We start from the raw sequence: 16,065 nt of genomic DNA, 5'->3' as shown, positions 1-16,065 counted from the left end.
CACACACATATATATATATGAAAACTCTTGAAATACAAGAAAACTCAAGGCTTTTTTTCTTATGTTGGCAAAAACAAAGTGTCTCCCTGTTACCTTCCCACCTCTTCCCCCAATCCATTATTGCCACATACGTGCTAATTTCTTATCCTGATGAACTCATTTTGCCCAAATTTCAACCTCATCATTTATGTATGGACTGACATCTATGACATCTCCCCTGAAAATATGGCTGTGGTATGTTTTGGCAATAAGAATAGAGAAGTGATAGATTTTTTTTTCTGATTATTTTTCAGGAATCATCCATTAAGCAATATCTGGAATTCTTTGCAATGCCAGTTATCAATAATGACCTTTGCTGGCTGGACACAGTGGTTCATGCCTGTAATCCCAGTACTTTGGGAGGCTGAGGCAGGTAGATCGCTTGAGCTCAGGGGTTTAAGACCAGCCTAGGCAACATGGCAAAACCCTGTCTGTACAAAAAATTCAAAACACTAGCCAAGCATGATGGCGTATGCCTGTAGTCCCAGCTACTCTGGAGGCTGAAGTAGGAGGAAGACTTGACCCCAGGAGGTGGAGGTTGCAGTGAGCCGGGATCACGCCACTACACTCCAGACTGGGGGACAGAGCCAGATCCTGTCTCAAAAAAAAAAAAAAAAAAAAAAAGAAGTTACTTTTTCTGCACATCCTTTAGAATCAACTCTGAAGCTTAAAAACAAATACATATGTCTGGGCCCCACCTCAAACTTACTGAATTGGAATCTTGGGGATAGCTCCAGGACATCTGTATACTTTTCATGTTTCAGAAAAGATTTCTGATATGCATTGGGTTGGGGACCAGTAGCAGAGCAAGGGAGGTGTGTGTAATCAGAGAAGGGTAACTTCAAAGATGTAGAACACTATGAATACCATGACCTAATTCCTCACCAAAGAAGCAAGCAGACATCCTGTTTTGGAGGTGGCACACTCTCACTCCCTCATTTGCCAACGATTTATTCAATGCAACTTTCCTAAGCATGTGCTGAGAAAGATGCGGAAGTGGATAAGGACATTACGCAGCCTGTCTCTTAGTAAAGAAGAAAAGACACAGAGACAATTAACCATAATATAAGAGCTGTGCAGACGAGATGCTATAGGAATTCAGAAGAGTGAAAGTCCTTTCACGGCTGGAGACTTCATAAAGGCTTCATGGAGATGTTCTTTGAGATTTCTCAACAGGCAGATATGGGAGGAGGTAGTCATGGGAGAGAACCACTTGAGCAAAGATTCAGAACTGGGAAAGCCCAGGTACATTCAACTGATTTCCTACAAGAGAGAGAAGTGAGACAGAGATGGAAAGATGAATGGAGGGGGCCTATGAGTGGTCATGAATGCCAGACCAGGAAGCCCACGCTCTTAGTCTGTTTTGTGATGCTGTAGCAGAATACCTGAATCCAGATAATTTATAAAGAAAAGAGATTTATTTTACTCACAGTTCTGCAGGCTGGGAATTTCCAGGGCATGGCCCTGGCTTTTGTTAAGGGCTTCCATGCTGTGTCATCATATGGTGGGGAAGGTCAAAGGGGAAGCAGACATGTGTGAAGAGACGAAAATCCAAGGGGCATCCTGGCTTTATAACAACCCACTCTTGAGGGAATTAATCAAATCTTGCCAGAACAAGAACTCACTACTGCACTAACAACACCAAGCCATTCATGACAGATCTGTGCCTATGCCCCAAATACCTTCCACTAGGCCACATCTCAACACCATCACATTGGAGATAACATTTCACATGAGCTTTGGTGGGAACAAGCAAACCATATTCAAACCATAGCACTCTTTATGATGAAGCCCTCCAGCCCACAGCTGCTTTGACACAATTCAAGCCCAGACATCTCTGTGTAGGACTCCTGGAGCCTTTCTATAATTTTTGTCTTGCCATACTTGGCCTCTCATCTCAAACAAATGTGAATCCCTGAATTTTAACCTTCAATTCTTTTTGCTAATAACCAGGCATATCTCTTTAGTAACAGGTAACACTTACTGAGTGCTCATTATGTGCCCAGAATTAACTTGTTTAGTTCTCATAACAGTTTGGGTACTATCTTTATTATTGCCATTTGCAGATGAAGAAACTGACATAAAGGGAGGATAAATAGCTTACCCAAGATTGTGCATGATGAGCAGGAGAGCAGGGGCTGGAACTCAGGTACCCTGCTTCCAAAGCCCACAGTCAGCCTTCACATTATACTGCCTTCATGTAAGATAACCATGGTCTTTTTGTTTGCTTTTGGTATTGAACCACCTTGAAACCATCTACCATTTTTTCAGTTAGTCACCTCTCACCACCAGATTGATTGAAAGCATAAAGAGTGAAGCACAGGGGGAAAATGAAACAAACACACAGCAATCCTTAAGGGGATCAGGACCACATTCTATATCTAAATCAGGACCACATTCTAGATCCAATCTAACTTTGAATATGAATCAGTAATCCACTGTAGTGGGCAGAACCATGGTCCCCAATGATGTTCATGTGCTGATCCCCAGAACCTGTAACTATGTTAGGCTACATGGCAAAGGGGCATTAAGGCAGCGGATGGGATAAAGATTCCTAATGCTGACTTAAAATAAAGAGATTATCCTAGATTATCTCGGTAGGTCAAAGGTCATCACAGGGGTCTTTAAAACTGAAAAATGGAGGCAGAAGAGAAGGTCAGAGAGGGAGATGTAACTACAGAACAGATCAGAATGATGCAATGTGAGGATGCAATCTGCCATTGCTAGTTCTGAAAATGGTGAAGGGGCCATGAGCCAAGGGATGCAGGAGGCCTCTAGAAGCTGGAAAAGGGAAGGGAATAAACTCACTCTTATTCCAGAAGGAACACAGCTCCAACAACACCTTCATTTTAATGCAGTGAGATCAGGGCCAGACTTCTGGTCTACAGACTGTAATACAGATAGTAAATTTGTGCCATTTAAGCCACTAAGGCTGTCTGATAGTTTGTTATAGCAATAAAGCAGAAAAATACAGCCACTGTGTTAGCCCACTCAGCTGTGAGTGCTTGCATACGGCTTTGTGGGACTAATGATGCTTTTGCTGATGATAACAAGTTAACATTGCTGAGTCCCTTTTTAGTAGAGACCATCCTGTTGTCCAGATGAGCCCCTGAGGTAGGGGCAGAAGACGGAAGTCTAATATTTATGGGAAGACTGTAGACTTTGGAGGCCAGGAGATGTATGTTCAAATCGCAGTTGTGCTGCAAACTCACTGTGAGAACCTGAAAATTTTACTTAATTTGGCTTAATTTAACTTTCATTATAAGTGAAACAGGAATAACTGGAAAAAAATATGGAATAAGATGGAATAAAAACTGGAATAATAACATGTATCAGACATGGCGGTTAAGAGTCAAGCTAATGTGTATAGAGTAACTGGCACATAGGCTAATGTGTGTAGAGTAACTGGCACATAGTAGGTGCTCAGTGCAAAGTAAGTGTTGTTTTGTTACTGAAGTGCCAGAAAACTTTACCAATTATGATACTGAGTGGTTCGATGCATATGTGAGATAGTCACTGGTAGAAATGTATGATATTTTTTAAAAGCCAATACAAAATTCTGGCCATCACTTTGGGAGGCTGAGGCAAGAGGATCACTTGAGGCCAGGAGTTTGAGACCAGCCTGGGCAACATAGCTGAGACCCCCATCTCTTGAAATGGAAGCATTTTCATATCCATTTTTCTCAGCTGGTAAAGATGTCTAACTTCTGCCTTTTTAAAGACCTAAGTGTGACCCAGATATCCACACATTCCCCAGTCTTCATGGATTTCCCGTCACATGATGCCAAGTCACAACACAGCAGAACTCCATTCCCTGGACTGGGAATTCCATTCTTCTTACAAGTACCCTCCCCATATAAATTATTGACAGATTGATTGATTGATTGATTTGAGATGGAGTCTCGCTCTGTCGCCCAGGCTGGAGTGCAGTGGCACGGTCTCAGCTCACTGCAAGCTCCGCCTCCCAGGTTCACACCATTCTCCTGCCTCAGCCTCCCCAGTAGCTGGGACTACAGGTGCCCGCCACCACACCCGGCTAATTTTTTGTATTTTTATTAGAGACAGGGTTTCACTGTGTTAGTCAGGATGGTCTCGATTTCCGGACCTCGTGATCTGCCCGCCTCGGCCTCCCAAAATGCTGGGATTACAGGAGTGAGCCACCATACCCAGCCCCCTCCGCACATAATTTCTGCAAAAATTGGAGAAATTTACCCTGTCGTCACTGTAGTCTTTTTATTTTTCCTGACTTCTGCCACTGCCTCTCTAAATTTAGCCTGCTGCATGGAGTCAGAACCCTTCCTTAAATCCTAGAAGCACAAACAAGCCTGGTTGCAGTGTTATCAGAACATCACAGAAGAAAATTAGAACACAAAAAGTAAGCCTTAAAACTGGTTGTTACCTGTCACTGCTTCTAGTTGTGGGCTCTGGTTTTCACGGGATCTTCTCCAGGACCTGAACACCTTTTTCTCATTTTCTTCTGACCTACTGCCATGTTATAAGGGCCAGACCTTCTTCAAATGTCCCCCTATCCAAATTCCCAGTTCAATCACTCCTGGTCCAGTGGAAAGATACAGATCTCCCACCCCCAGCCCAAGGCTTACCTCCTTCCTCCTCCAGATGATTAACAATGGAGTTGTCTGGACCATGTAGCCCATTGATAGTTAACACTAAATTTCGACAAAGTTTGATTTAGTCAACAAGAAAACACCTCATGGAGTACTTGAGATCAAGTAGCTTTTAGCTTTTTCATCGAGTCCTTTTCGGGTCCTACTGCCAAATGGGGAAAATATACAGCCTTGTCTTCCCTATTCTCAATTTCCTGCACACACACACACACACACACACACACACACATACACACTCCGCCCTATAAGAACAAAGAATAAATTTTTCAGATATGATACTTCCTATTCCCCTTATAAACAACATGTGGTAGATATTACCAGTGGTCCCCAATATCGAGTTCTTTCTTTCCCGGGAATATTTTTTTTATCTTTTCAAAAACCTAACTCTTAGTTTTATTTTTTATCTACTATTTTTCTATTTTCTACTTAATAGTACTAATCTCTTCTCTAGTCCTTATTATTTTCTTCTTTCTAGTAGCTATAGTTTAGTTTGTTCTTCTTTTCCTAGTTCCTTGAAGTATAAAGTTAAATAGTTAAGCTATTTTTGCTTTTTTGCCTGTGGTTTTGGTATGATAGCCAAGAAATCATTGCCAAATCCCATGTCATGAATCTTTAACCCTATGATAACTTCTAGGAGTTTTATAACTTTGGATCTTACTTTTAGGTCCTTAATCTATTTCGAGTTAATATTTTGTGTATGATTTAAGAATCCAGTTTTATTCTTTTACATGTAGATATACTGTTTTCTCAACACCATTTGTTGAAGAGACTGTCTTTTCTCCCAATGAGTGGTCTTGGCACCTTTTTCAAAAATTATTTGACCATATATGTGAGCATTTATTTCTAGACTCCCTATTCTATTCCATTGGTCTATCTGTCTTTATGCCAGTACCACATTGTTTGATCACTGTAGCTTTGTTATATGCTTTGAATTCAGAAAGTGTGGGTCCTCCATTTATAATTTGTTCTTCTTTTTCAAAAAAATGTTTGGCTACTTGAAGTCCCTTGAAATTCCACATAAATTTTAGGATTTTTCTTATTTCTGCAAAATATGCTGTTGAGATTTTGATAGGTATTGTGGTTAAACTGTAAATCACTTTGGTAGCATTTACATCTCATAAATATAGTCTTCCAATCCATAAATATGGGATATCTTTCTATTTATTTGTATCTTATTAAATTTCTTTTGGCAATGGCTTATAGTTTTCAGTATATGAATTTTTCACCTCCTTGGTTAGACTTATTGCTAAGAATTATATTTGTTTTGATGCTATTGTAAATCAAATTGTTTTCTTAATTTTGTAATTCTTCATTGTAAGTGTATAGAAATATGTATTGATTTTGTATCCCACAACTTTGCTAAATTTATTAGTTCTAATAGCTTTTCATGGAATCTCTAGGGTTTTCTACATATAAGATCATAGGTTTGTGAGGAGAGATAATTGTAGGGTTTTTTTCCTATTTGATGCTTTTAATTTATTTTTCTTGCCTAACTGCTCTGGCTAGGATTTCCAATACTATGTTGAATAGAAGCAGCAAAGAACAGGCAACCTGCCTTTTTCTTGATCTTAGAGGAAAAGTGTTAGTCTTTCACCGTTGAGTATGATGTTAGCTGTGGATTTGTTATATATGGCTTTTATTATGCTGTGAAAGCTTCCTTCTATTCCTACTTTGTTAAGTGTTTTTAATGATGAAGTGGTATTGAATCTTATCAAATGCTTTTCTGCATCAATTGAGATGATCATGTGATTTTTGTCCTTCATTCTGTTAACATGAAGTTTACATTAATTGAGTTTCATATGTTGAATCATCCTTCCATCCCAGGAATAAATTCCACTTTGTCATGGTGGATAATCTTTTCAATGTGCTGCTGAATTCAGTTTGCTAGTATTTTGTTGAGGATTTTTCATCACTATTCATCAGTATTGGTATGTAGTTTTCTTTTCTTTTAGTGTTCTTGTCTGGCTTTGATATTGAGGTAATGCTGGCCTTGTAAAATGACCTTGGATATATTCCCTCCTCTTCAATTTTTTGGAAGAGCTTGACATGGATTGGTGTTAATTCTGCTTTAAATATTTGGTAGAATTCTCCAGCGAAGCTCTATGGTCCTATACTTCTCTTTGTTAAGAACTTTTTAATTACTGATTTAATCTCCTTACTGGTTATTGATCTATTCATATTTCCTATTTCTCATGATTCAGTCTTGGTAGGTTGTGTTGGATTGTATACATTTCTTCTAGGTTATCCAATTTGTTAGCATACAATTAATCTCTTTTCATCATTTCTATTTCTGTGGCATTTGTTGTAATATCCCCTCTTTTGTTTCTGATTTTATTTAATTCAGTCTTCTTTTTATTTCAATTAGTTTAGCTAAGAGTTTGTCAATTTTCTTTATCTTTTCAAAAACCTAACTCTTAGTTTTATTTTTTATCTACTATTTTTCTATTTTCTACTTAATAGTACTAATCTCTTCTCTAGTCCTTATTATTTTCTTCTTTCTAGTAGCTATAGTTTAGTTTGTTCTTCTTTTCCTAGTTCCTTGAAGTATAAAGTTAAATAGTTAAGTTTTTATCTCTCTTCTTTTTTAATGTATGAACTTATAACTACATACTTCTCTCATAGCACTGCTTTCACTGTATCCCATCAATTTAAATATGGGATTTTTTTCATTTTCATTTTTCTCAAAGTGTTTTCTCAATTTCCCTTTGACTTCCTCTTTGACCTATTGGTTGTTAAATAGTGTGTTGTTCAATTTCCACATACTTGTGGATTTTCCAGTTTTCCTTCTGCTATGGATTTCTAGTTTCATTCCATTGTGATTGGAAAATATACTTTGAATAATTTCAATCTTTTAAAATTTGTTAGGATTTGTTCCATGATCTAATATGTGATCTGTTCTGGAGAATGTTTCACATGCACGTGAAAATAATGTATATTCTGTTATTGTTGGGTAGACTTTTCTGTATGTCTTTTAGGTCCAAGTGATCTATACTTTTGTTCAAGTCTTCTATTTTTAAAGGTAATTTCTGTTTGGTTATTCTATTCATTATTGAAAGAGGGGTATTGAAATCTACTTTTATTGTGTTGCTGTGTGTTTCTCCCTTTAATTCTGTCAAAGTTTGCTTCATATACTGAGGATCTCTGATGTTTCATGCATAAATATTTAGAATTATATCTTCTTGGTGAATTAATCTTTTTATCCTTACATAATGTCCTTCTTTGTCATTTATAAACAAAAATTTTTGACTTAGAGTAAATGTTTTCTGATTTTAGTATAGCCTATCCTGTTGTCTTTTGGTTACCATTTGCAACACTTTTTCCATCCTTTCATTTTCAACCTATATGTATCCTCAAATCAAAAGTGAGTTTCTGATATACAGTATATTGATGAATCCTGGGTTTTGTTTGTACTTATTTATTTATTTTTATTGAGACAGAGTCTTGCTCTGTTGCCCAGGCTGGAGTGCAGTGCTGTGATCTTGGGTCACTGCAACCTCCGCCTCCTGGGTTCAAGCAATTTTCCCACCTCAACCTCTTGAGTAGCTAGGATTACAGGCATGTGCCACCATGCCTGGCTAATTTTTTAATTTTTAGTAGAGATGGGGTTTTGCCATGTTGGCCAGGCTGGTCTCAAACTCCTGACTTCAAGTGATCCACCTACCTTCGTATCCCAAAGTGCTAGGATTACAGGCGTGAGCCACCATACCCAGCTGAATCCTGTTTTTTAAAACCAAATTTTCGAATATATCTTTGACCGGGGAATTTAATCCATTTACATTCAAAGTAATTGTCTATATGGAAGGACTTACCATTGCCATTTTGTTAATTGTTTTCCATATGTCTTACAGCTTTTTGTTCTTTTTCTCTCTTATTGCTTTCCTTTTATGTTTTGTTGATTTTTCTGTATTGGCATGCTTTGATTTCCTTCTCATTTCCTTTTGTGTATATTCTATAAATTTTTTTTATAGTTACCACTGTAATAACATATAACATCTTAGAGTTATAACACTCTATTTTAAACTAATAAATTAATTTCAATGTCATACAAAAACTCTAGTACTACATGCTCAATCTCCCACTTGTTATTGCTATCATAAATTACCTCTTCATAGGTTGTATACCGATTAACATAGATTTATAGTTTTTTAATGTTTTGTAATTTAAATTCTATACAATAATTAAAAGTGAAGGTGTGCAATAAAATTACAGTAATAAAGTTTACTATGTCTATGAATTTACCTTTATCAGAGAACTTTATATTTTTTAGTGGCTTTGTGCTACTGTCTACCATCCTTTCCCTTCACCTTGAGGAACTTCCCATTAGCATTTCTTGCCAAGCAGATCTAGTGATAATGAACTCCCTTTGTTTTTGTTCACCTGAATAAATCTTAATTTCTTTTTTAGTTTTAAAGAACAGTTTGCTGGACACGATATTCTCAGTTGACAGGTTTATTGGAGTGTATTTTTGCTTTTCCTTTTTTCTTTCAGCACCCTGAGTATAACATCCTACTTCCTCTAGCCGTCAAAGTTTCTGCTGAGAAATTCACTAGTAATCTTATCAAAGTTCTCTTTGATGTGATGGGTTGCTTTTCTTTTGCTGGTTTCAAGATTGTCTCTTTGTCTTTGATGTTTCACAGTTTGATTATATCTAGGTGTGGGTCTTTTGGGATTTATCCTTGTTGGAATCTTTGAGCTTCTTAAATTTGTATGTCCATTTTATCCTTCAATTTGGGAGACATTTGGCCATTATTTCTTCAGCTAAGAGCTCTGGCCTTTTCTTTCTCTTCTCCTTCTGGAAATTCTGTAATAAGTATATTGAGCTGCTTGATACTTCCCCATAAGTTCCTTGGGTTCTCTTCACTTTCTTCATTCTTTTTACTTTTTGTTCCTCTAACTTGAGGATTTCAAATAACCTGTCTTCAAGTTCAGTGATTTCTTCTTCTGCGTTATCAAGTCTGTTGTTGAACCTTTTTGGTGATATTCTGAGGTCACTTATTATGGTTTTTAGCACCAGAATTTCTGTTTGGTGTTCTTAAAATAGTTTCTCTTTGTTGATAGTCTCAATTTATACATGTGTCATTTACTGGATTTCATTTAGTCATCTATCTGTATTCTCTTTTAGCTCATTGAGCATATTTATGACAGTTATTTTAAATTCTTTGTCAGCAAGCCCATATGTTTTCATTTCTTTAGGGTTGGCTTCTGAAGTTTTGTTTTGGCCCTCTGATTGGACCATAAATCTTTGTTTCTTTGTGTGCCTTGTGATTTTTGTTGTGCTGATGATGCTGTTAAGACATGGACATTCAAAACAACAACCACTTTTCATAAACTTTATGGTCTGGCTTCACGCAAAAGACTTCACTGATCAGCGCAGCTAGAGTCTATTTTAGGATCTTTCAAACTCTGAGAATGTGTCTTCTCTGGGCATGTACATAAGCTTTTTAGTCCTGTGAAATTCCCATTGCAGCTTGTCCTTGCTTCTTTTCAGAAGCCTGAAATCTCTTGCTCCCTCTGGCACCTGCCTGTGGAACTGCAGCTCAAATGTGCCACTATTATTGAACCTGTTTTCAGCAGCTTGCAAACAAGGTCACAAACTCAATCAGCCCTCTGAGCCAATTGAGATGGATACCAATTCTTGAGGCAGCTCCCAGACTAGCCAGACTGCTGTACACATGGTCCTTTCCTTCGTTTTCATTCAAAGAGAGGATCCCTGGCATGGGAAGTTTCCTTCCAGTTGTGTTGCATTAGGTCAAATGGGGGCAGAGCACAGATGAGCATACAAAGTGCTATGAACTTCCTTAACCCTTTATCTGAAATCCCTTCCTGTTGTATGTAGCTCAGGGTGCTTAGACTTCTCAAGTAGTCTCCAGAGTTCTCACAAAAATATTTTGGCCCACATATTTTTACTAACTTCTTGTCTCTGTGAAGCTTCCTAGTCTGCATCTCTAAATGTGTGTTATTTTAATAGTAAGAATAAACTATTAGAGGTTCCAAGATGGCCGAATAGGGACAGCTCCAGTATGCAGCTCCCAGTGTGAGTGATGCAGAAGATGGGTGATTTCTGCATTTCCAACTGAGGTACCAGGTTCATCTCACTGGGGCTTGTCAGACAGTGGGTGCAGCCCATGGAGCAGGGTGGGGCATTGCCTCACCCAGGAAGCACAAGAGGTCAGGGAATTCCCTTTCCTAGCAAAGGGAAGCCGTGACAGACACCACCTGGAAAATCGGGGAACTCCCACCCTAATACTGCGCTTTTCCAATGGCCTTAGCAAATGGCACACTGGGAGATTATATCCCACACCTGGCTCAGAGGGGCCCATGCCCACGGAGCCTCACTCACTGCTAGCACAGCAGTCTGAGATCAAACTGCAAGGTGGCAGCGAGGCTCGGGGAGGGGTGTCCGCCATTGCTGAGGCTTGAGTAGGTAAACAAAGCAGCCCATAAGCTCGAACTGGGTGGAGCCCACTGCAGCTCAAGGAGGTCTGCCTGCATCTGTAGACTCCACCTCTGGGGGCAGGGCACAGCTAAACAAAAGGCAGCAGAAACTTCTGCAGACTTAAACGTCCCTGTCTGGCAGGTTTGAAGAGAGCAGTGGTTCTCCCAGCACGGAGTTTGAGATCTGTGAGCAGACAGACTGCCTCCTGAAGTGGATCGCTGACCCCTGAGTAGCCTAACTTGGAGACACCTCCCAGTAGGGGCCGACTGACACCTCATACAGCTGGGTGCCCCACTGAGATAAAGCTTCCAAAGAAAGGATCAGGCAGCAGCATCTGCCCTTCTGCAATATTTGCTGTTCTGCAGCCTCCGCTGGTGACACTCAGGCAAACAGGGTCTGGAGTGGACCTCCAGCAAACACCAACAGACCTGCAGCTGAGGATCCTGACTGTTAGAAGGAAAACTAACAAACAGAAAGGACATCCACACCAAAACCCCATCTGGGTGTCACCATCATCAAAGACCAAAGGAAGATAAAACCACAAATATGGGGAGAAACCAGAGTAGAAAAGCTGAAAATTCTAAAAATCAGGGCACCTCTTCTCCTCCAAAGGAATGCAGCTCCTCGCCAGCAGTGGAACAAAGCTGGATGGAGAATGACTTTGAGCAGCTGAGAGAAGAAAGCTTCAGACAATCACTAATAAGAAACTTCTCTGAGCTAAAGGAGGATGTTCAAACCCATCGCAAAGAAGCTAAAAACCTTGAAAAAAGATTAGACGGATGGCTAACTGGAATAAACAGTGTAGAGAAGTCCTTAAATGACCTTATGGAGCTGAAAACCATGGCACGAGAACTAAGTGATGCATGCACAAGCTTCAATAGCTGACTTGATCAAGTGGAAGAAAGGGTATCAGTGATTGAAGATCAAATGAATGAAATGCAGCGAGAAGAGAAGTTTAGAGAAAAAAGACTAAAAAGAAACGAACAAAGACTCCAAGAAATATGGGACTATGTGAAAAGACCAAATCTACGTCTGATTGATGTACCTGAAAGTGATGGAGAGAATGGAACCAAGTTGGCAAACACTCTTCAGGATATTATCCAGGAGAACTTCCCCATCCTAGTGAGGCAGGCCAACATTCAAATTCAGGAAACACAGAGAATGCCACAAAGATACTCCTTGAGAAGAGCAACTCCAAGACACATAATTGTCAGATTCACCAAAGTTGAAATGGAGGAAAAAATGTTAAGGGCAGCCAGAGAGAAAGGTTGGTTACCTGCAAACAGAAGCTCATCAGACTAACAGCAGATCTCTTGGCAGAAACTCTACAAGCCAGTAGAGAGTGGGGGCCAATATTCAACATTCTTAAAGGAAAGAATTTTCAACACAGAATTTCATATCCAGCCAAATTAACCTTCATAAGTGAAGGAGAAATAAAATCCTTTATAGACAAACAAATGCTGAGAGATTTTGTCACCACCAGGCCTGCCCTAAAAGAGCTCCTGAAGGAAGCACTAAACATGGAAAGGAACAACCAGTACCAGCCACTGCAAAAATATGCCAAATTGTAAAGATCATTGAGGCTAGGAAGAAACCGCATCAACTAACGAGCAAAATAACCAGCTAACATCATAATGACAGGATCAAATTCACACATAACAATATTAACCTTAAATGTAAATGGGCTAAATCCTCCGATTAAAAGACACAGACTGGCAAATTGGATAAAGAGTCAAGACCTATCAGTGTGCTGTATTCAGGAGACCCATCTCACATGCAGAGACACACATAGTTTCAAAATAAAGGGATGGAGGAAGATCTACAAAGCAAATGGAAAAGAAAAAAAAAAGCAGGGGTTGCAATCCTAGTCTCTGATAAAACAGACTTTAAACCAACAAAGAACAAAGAGACAAAGAAGGCCATTACATAATGGTAAAGGGATTGATTCAACAAGGAGAGCTAACTATCCTAAATATATATGCACCCAATACAGGAGCACCCAGATTCAAAAACCAAGTCCTTAGAGACCTACAAAGAGACTTAGATGCCCACACAATAATAATGTGTGGGTTTAACACCCCACTGTCAACATTAGACAGATCAACGAGACAGAAAGTTAACAAGGATATCCAGGAATTGAACTCAGCTCTGCACCAAGTGGACCTAATAGACATCTACAGAACTCTCCACCCCAAATCAACAGAATATACATTCTTCTCAGCACCACATCACACCTATTCCAAAATTGACCACATAGTTGGAAGTAAAGCACTCCTCAGCAAATGTAAAAGAACAGAAATCATAACAAACTGTTTCTCAGACCGCAGTGCAATCAAACTAGAACTCAGGATTAAGAAACTCACTCACAACCACTCAACTACATAGAACTGAACAACTCGCTCCTGAATGACTGCTGGGTACATAACGAAATGAAGGCAGAAATAAAGATGTTCTTTGAAACCAACAAGAACAAAGACACAACATACCAGAATCTCTGGGACACATTTAAAGCAGTGTGTAGAGGGAAATTTATAGCACTAAATGCCCACAAGAGAAAGCAGGAAAGGTCTAAAATTGACACCCTAACATCACAATGAAAAGAACTAGAGAAGCAAGAGCAAACACATTCAAAAGCTAGCAGAAGCCAAGAAATAACTAAGATCAGAGCAGAACTGAAGGAGATAGAGACACAAAAAACCCTTCAAAAAATCTATGAATCCAGGAGCTGTTTTTTTGAAAAGATCAACAAAATTGATACACTGCTAGCAAGACTAATAAAGAAGAAGAGAGAGAAGAATCAAATAGATGCAATAAAAAATGATAAAGGGGATATCACCACCGATCCCACGGAAATACAAACTACCATCAGAGAATACTATAAACACCTCTATGCAAATAAACTAGAAAATCTAGAAGAAATGGATAAATTCCTGGATGCATACACCCTCCCAAAACTAAACCAGGAATAGACCAATAACAGGTTCTGAAATTGAGGCAATAATTAATAGCCTACCAACCAAAAACTGTCCAGGACCAGGCAGATTTACAGTTGAATTCTACCACAGGTACAAAGAGGAGCTGGTACCATTCCTTCTGAAACTATTCCAATCAATAGAAAAAGAGGGAATCCTCCCTAATTTACTTTCTGAGGCCAACATCATCCTGATACCAAAGCCTGGCAGAGACACAACAAAAAAAGAGAATTTTAGACCAATATCCCTGATGAACATCGATGCAAAAATCCTCAATACTGGCAAACCGAATCCAGCAGCACATCAAAAAGCTTATCCACCACGATAAAGTTGGCTTCATCCCTGGGATGCAAGGCTGGTTCAACATATGCAAATCAATAAATGTAATCCAGCATATAAACAGAACCAAAGACAAAAACCAAATGATTATCTCAATAGATGCAGAAAAGGCCTTTGACAAAATTCAACAGCCCTTCATGCTAAAAACTCTCAAAAAACTAGGTATTGATGGGACGTATCACAAAATAATAAGAGCTATTTATGACAAACCCACAGCCGATATCATACTGAATGGGCAAAAACTGGAAGCATTCCTTTGAAAACTGGCACAAGACAGGGATGCCCTCTCTCATCACTCCTATTCAACATAGTGTTGGAAGTTCTGGCCAGGGCAATCAGGCAAGAGAAAGAAATAAAGGGTATTCAATTAGGAAAAGAAAAAGTCAAATTGTCCTTGTTTGCAGATGACATGATTATATATTTAGAAAACCCAATCTTCTCACCCCAAAATCTCCGTAAGCTAATAAGCAACTTAAGCAAAGTCTCAGGACACAAAATCAATGTGCAAAAATCACAACCATTCATATACACCAATAACAGGCAAACAGAGAGCCAAATCATAAGTGAATTCCAATTCACAATTGCTTCAAAGAGAATAAAATACCCAGGAATCAAACTTACAAGGGATGTGAAGGACCTCTTCAAGGAGAACTACAAACCACTGCTCAACAAAACAAAAGAGGACACAAACAAATGGAAGAAGATTCCATGCTCGTGGATAGGAAGAATTAATATTGTGAAAATGGCCATACTGCCCAAGGTAATTTATAGATTCACTGCCATCCCCATCAAGCTACCAATGACTTTCTTCACAGAATTGGAAAAAACTACTTTAAAGTTCATATGGAACCAAAAAAGAGCCTGCATTGCCAAGACAATCCTAAGCCAAAAGAACAAAGCTGGAGGCATCACGCTACCTGACTTCAAACTATGCTACAAGGCTACAGTAACCAAAACAGCATGGTACTTGTACCAAAACAGAGATATAGACCAATGGAACAGAATAGAGCCCTCGGAAATAATACCATACATCTACAAACATCTGATCTTTGACAAACCTGACAAAAACAAGAAATGGGGAAAGGGTTCCCTATTTAATAAATGGTGCTGGGAAAACTGGCTAGCCATATGTAGAAAGCTGAAACTGGATCCCTGCCTTATACCTTATACAAAAATTAATTCAAGATGGATTTAAGAATTAAATGTTAGACCTAAAACCATAAAAACCCTAGAGGAATAGCTAGGAAATACCATTCAGGCCATAGGCATGTGCAAGGACTTCATGACTAAAACACCAAAAGCAATGGCAACAAAAGCCAATATTGACAAATGGGATCTAATTAAACTAAAGAGCTTCTGCACAGCAGAAGAAACTACCATCAGAGTGAACAGGCAACCTACAGAATGGGAGAACATTTTTGCAACCTACTCATCTGACAAAGGGCTAATATCCAGAATCTACAATGAACACAAACAAATTTACAAGAAAAAAACAAACAACCCCATCAAAAAGTGGACGAAGGATATGAACAGACACTTCTCAAAAGAAGACATTTATGCAGCCAGAAAACACATGAAAAAATGCTCATCATCACTGGCCATCAGAGAAATGCAAATCAAAACCACAATGAGATACCATCTCACACCAGTTAGA

General features: G+C 38.9%; 1 annotated feature.

Annotated features, from left to right (window-relative positions):
* Positions 11,045-11,546: an enhancer, noted in NCBI's record as "NANOG-H3K4me1 hESC enhancer chr8:25472096-25472597 (GRCh37/hg19 assembly coordinates)". NCBI's record gives its function as "activates a minimal SCP1, AML or CMV promoter by ChIP-STARR-seq in naive H9 embryonic stem cells {active_cell/tissue: H9 hESC(naive)}" and the evidence as "EXISTENCE:reporter gene assay evidence [ECO:0000049][PMID:30033119]".

Source organism: Homo sapiens, chromosome 8 (assembly GCF_000001405.40).
Source record: "Homo sapiens chromosome 8, GRCh38.p14 Primary Assembly".
Taxonomy (NCBI): Eukaryota; Metazoa; Chordata; class Mammalia; order Primates; family Hominidae; genus Homo; species Homo sapiens.
Note: the sequence above shows the minus strand (reverse complement) of the source record. Positions and strands in the feature narration are given on the sequence as shown.